The 3,775-nt window shown below is 41.1% G+C and overlaps 1 annotated feature.

Moving 5' to 3' along the window:
- Nucleotides 2,924-3,423: an enhancer, noted in NCBI's record as "H3K27ac hESC enhancer chr7:20526689-20527188 (GRCh37/hg19 assembly coordinates)". NCBI's record gives its function as "activates a minimal SCP1, AML or CMV promoter by ChIP-STARR-seq in primed H9 embryonic stem cells {active_cell/tissue: H9 hESC(primed)}" and the evidence as "EXISTENCE:reporter gene assay evidence [ECO:0000049][PMID:30033119]".

A 3,775-nucleotide genomic window follows, 5' to 3' on the forward strand; every position in this document is an offset into this window, starting at 1 on the left:
AGGCTGGTGACTATATATTTGCTAAATTTTTGTGTTGTGTCAAAGACCCCAAAACAATTCTTGGTACTCACACAATGACAATCAGAAAAACACCAGTAGACAGGAAGCCAGATCTGATATTGAAGGAGATGTGACAACCTTCCCTGTCAAAATATTTACAATAATTAAAACAAACTATAAATAGAAATAGTTATGAAACATAAAATGATAAAATATAATGTTATAAATATAAACAAATGATAAATATAAACAAAAAAGGAAACAGAATGTCAACATGGTTGACACTCTGCTTATAAAATACAGAAACAGATTTTTTTTGTCAGGAGATGAAATTATCTACTTTAAAACCTAGATGACAAGCAGATGGAAAAATAATTCTCTTTTAATCCCCGGCTAGCTGACTCATAGCCAAAAGGATATGGTAATATCAGTTGACAACAGAGCCACCCACTAAAAACATACAACTCACTAAGGAATAATGACTTTGCAGAGGAAGTAAAATTACAGATGTAAGAAATTAGGTCAAAACTTTCTTTTCTAACACCACCAGAAACCTTAAACTACTCTCTAGATAAAATCAACCAAAAAGCTGAATAAGTACATATGAATAGTTTAAATTTTAAGTGTATCACTGAGTTAAAAACAAACAAAAGGATTTGTGGGACCTCCCCATTGCTGCACAGAAAACTCAGGAGATAAGCCAGTGCCAAAGTCACCTCTGAGGGTTTCTGCCCAACCCTGAACACCTGAGTTTCCTCCAGTGACTGCACAATATCCAGGAAACAGGTGATAATGCTTAGCACTTACTCAGAAAAGTGGGAAATCTAATAGGATTTTCTGCCAGCAGTATAAAGATGAAGAAGAAGCAAAACCTGTTACCTAGGAGGAGATAGCAAGGAAATTTGCCTGTCTCAAGCCTTGTCATAGAGGAAGATGAGGTGGGGATGGAGAGAAAAGGGAGAATTCATAACCACAAAATTGCCCTCATAGAGATTTACAGTCTGAATTTACAGCACCTCTATTGTCTGTCAAATCTCTGGTAGAGAATAAAATTTAAAGAATTGGATTTAAATGCCAAGATGACTTTCAGACACAAATAAAAATCTAGGATAGAAATTAGTAAACAGATTCAAACAAATTGTCCAAAATGTAGCCCAGAAAAAATAAAAAACCTATGAAATTAAAAATAGGTTAAGATAACACATCTAGTCAGGGCTCCAAAAGAAATAATAAAGGAAATTGAGATGAAGCAAAATTAGAATAGATAAAGGGTAAGAATTTCTCAGAAATGTTGAAATACACTAGTCATGAGAATGAAAAATGGCAACTATAAATTCAAAATCCAAATGCAATTCCCAAAATCAATAAATTTAACCAAACAAATATAAAATTTCTGTATGGGTTAAAAAAACTCATAATTAAAATGAAAAAACAACAATAAACTAGTAAGAAAAGAGTTAAGGAGAAACAGAAAAGCTTAGGCAAATAGGAAACACATAATAAAATAATAGAACCAATAACATATATTAGTGATCATTATACATTTAAAATAATTCTTCATTTAAAATAAATTTTGTAATATTAAATTCAATATTTTTAAAAACCTGTTAAGTTTTGTTTGTAAGAGTCCCATTATCATAAAGAAATGAAAGAAAATGTGGAAAGAGTGAAAAAGATATATCAGATAAATACTAAACTGAAGAATGCTGGAATACCTATATTAAAACCGGACAAAATAAACATAAAGGCAAAAAAATATTAAAGATAAAGATGGTCGGCCGGGCGTGGTAGCTCACGCCTGTAATCCCAGCACTTTGGGAGGACAAGGCAGGTGGATTACAAGGTCAGGAGATTGAGACCATCCTGGCTAACATGGTGAAACCCCGTCTCTACTAAAAATACAAAAAAATTAGCCAGGCGTGGTGGCAGGTGCCTGTAGTCCCAGCTACTCGGGAGGCTGAGGCAGGAGAACGGCATGAATGCGAGAGGTGGAGCTGGCAGTGAGCCGAGATCGTGCCACTGCACCCCAGCCTGGGCAGCAGGGGGAGACTCTGTCCCAAAAAGGAAAAGAAAAGATAAAAATGGTCACTAAAAAACTAAAAATTGAATTTGAAAAAGAAAAATTGCAATTTTTAATGTTTATATACATAGTAACAAACTTTAAAATGAAGGGCAGAGGGTGGAATTCCATATGACTGATTAACCACAAAGAAGGACCAAAATGGTAAGTAGATAACCATACATCAAATAGAGCTTCTAAGAGAGAACACTGGAATTCAGCAGGAAAGTGACAGGGAACAACTGAGGCATAGAAAGAGAGGAAAGCGAAACAGCCAGCCTGGCTGGGATTGGTTCAAAGCTAGGAGAAACTCTCTATTGTAGGGAAAAGACAACTAAGATATCCCCAGTTGTTCATATTCTCACTATGGACCCCTGCAATCCTAGCCACAAGAGAGTTTCTTTGCCCTTATGGACTCTGATACTAGTACAGGAGATGTCTGGAGTCTACATAGTGACATTATTCCAGAGAAGGGGTTTGTGCTGAGTCCCACCCACCCCCTGAGACCCAAGCAGCTGCAGCACAGGGCCCTTTTGAGAGCCCAGTCCCCACCAGCTATATCCGCCTCTGGAGCCCAACAGCCCCTGAATCTCCACATTCCTGAAGCTCCACTTCCATCCCCCAACATCCATTCAGAGCACTGTAGCATTGCACCACCAGATGCACCCAGCAATGTGGCTGCGTCTCAAGGACTCTAACCAAGGCAGTGTCCTATACCCTGGGGAACAGGCAGTGCAGCACACTAGGAAAGCTGCCCCCAGGACAAAAGAAGCCAAAGCTTACTCTGCTTGCAGCCTAAGAACTAACTGCCTAAGGAGATTACCGCTGACAACAACCTCACTTCCTCCAGCCTCCTGTATGTACCTTCAGAGGGCCTGGGACTGGCCTGCTCAGGCACTGGGCCTAAGAACAAGCCTGTGTCACTCAGTGCCACTGGTGCCCACATGCATGGTCTGGGGTCCCAAGGATTGATCCACTCAACCTGCTCTGGCTGGCCTGTGCATTCCACCAGGGGGCCTAATGACAGGTCCACCCCACCCACCACTGCCATTGTTGAACATGTGTGCCATCCAGGGATCTGAGGAAAGGCCAGCCCCACCCATTTCCACTGCCACAAGTACCTGTGTGCACTATCAGGGGGCCTGAGAACTGAACCACCAAGCCAACCATCGCCACTGCTAGCACCCCCTACATGCCACTCAGGGGCCTGAGGATTGGACCGCCATTACTATTGCCACCACTGATGTCAACAGGGGCCCAAGAACCCACCCGTTCACCCACTCAGTCCAGCCACCATTGCCACCCAAGCAAGTCACCCGGAGGCCAAAAGGACCTGCCTGCCTAGACCCTTAATCACCATGCCTGGAACATCTCCCAGGGACCTGAGAAAAATCATGCCTGATGTCCTTGTCCCCAGTGGAGCCTTGCCACAGCCTCCACTAACAACTAAAGTCTAAGCCACTAAGTCACAGACACCACTGACACTGATTACAGCTAAAGAAATCATACAGAGACTACACTGCTGCACTCATCCAGAATCAAAGCCAAAGTACCCTACCCAGCCACTATAGATACATCTATAGGAAAATGTCTTTTCCTGTGAAAGCCAATACATAACATTAGGAGAAGCAACAGTTACACCAGATATGCAGATATCAATGTAAGGAACAAGAAACATGATAAAGCAAGGAAACATGACATGTTTCCAAAGAAACA

The sequence above is a fragment of the Homo sapiens genome, chromosome 7 (assembly GCF_000001405.40).
Source record: "Homo sapiens chromosome 7, GRCh38.p14 Primary Assembly".
NCBI classification, from domain to species: Eukaryota; Metazoa; Chordata; class Mammalia; order Primates; family Hominidae; genus Homo; species Homo sapiens.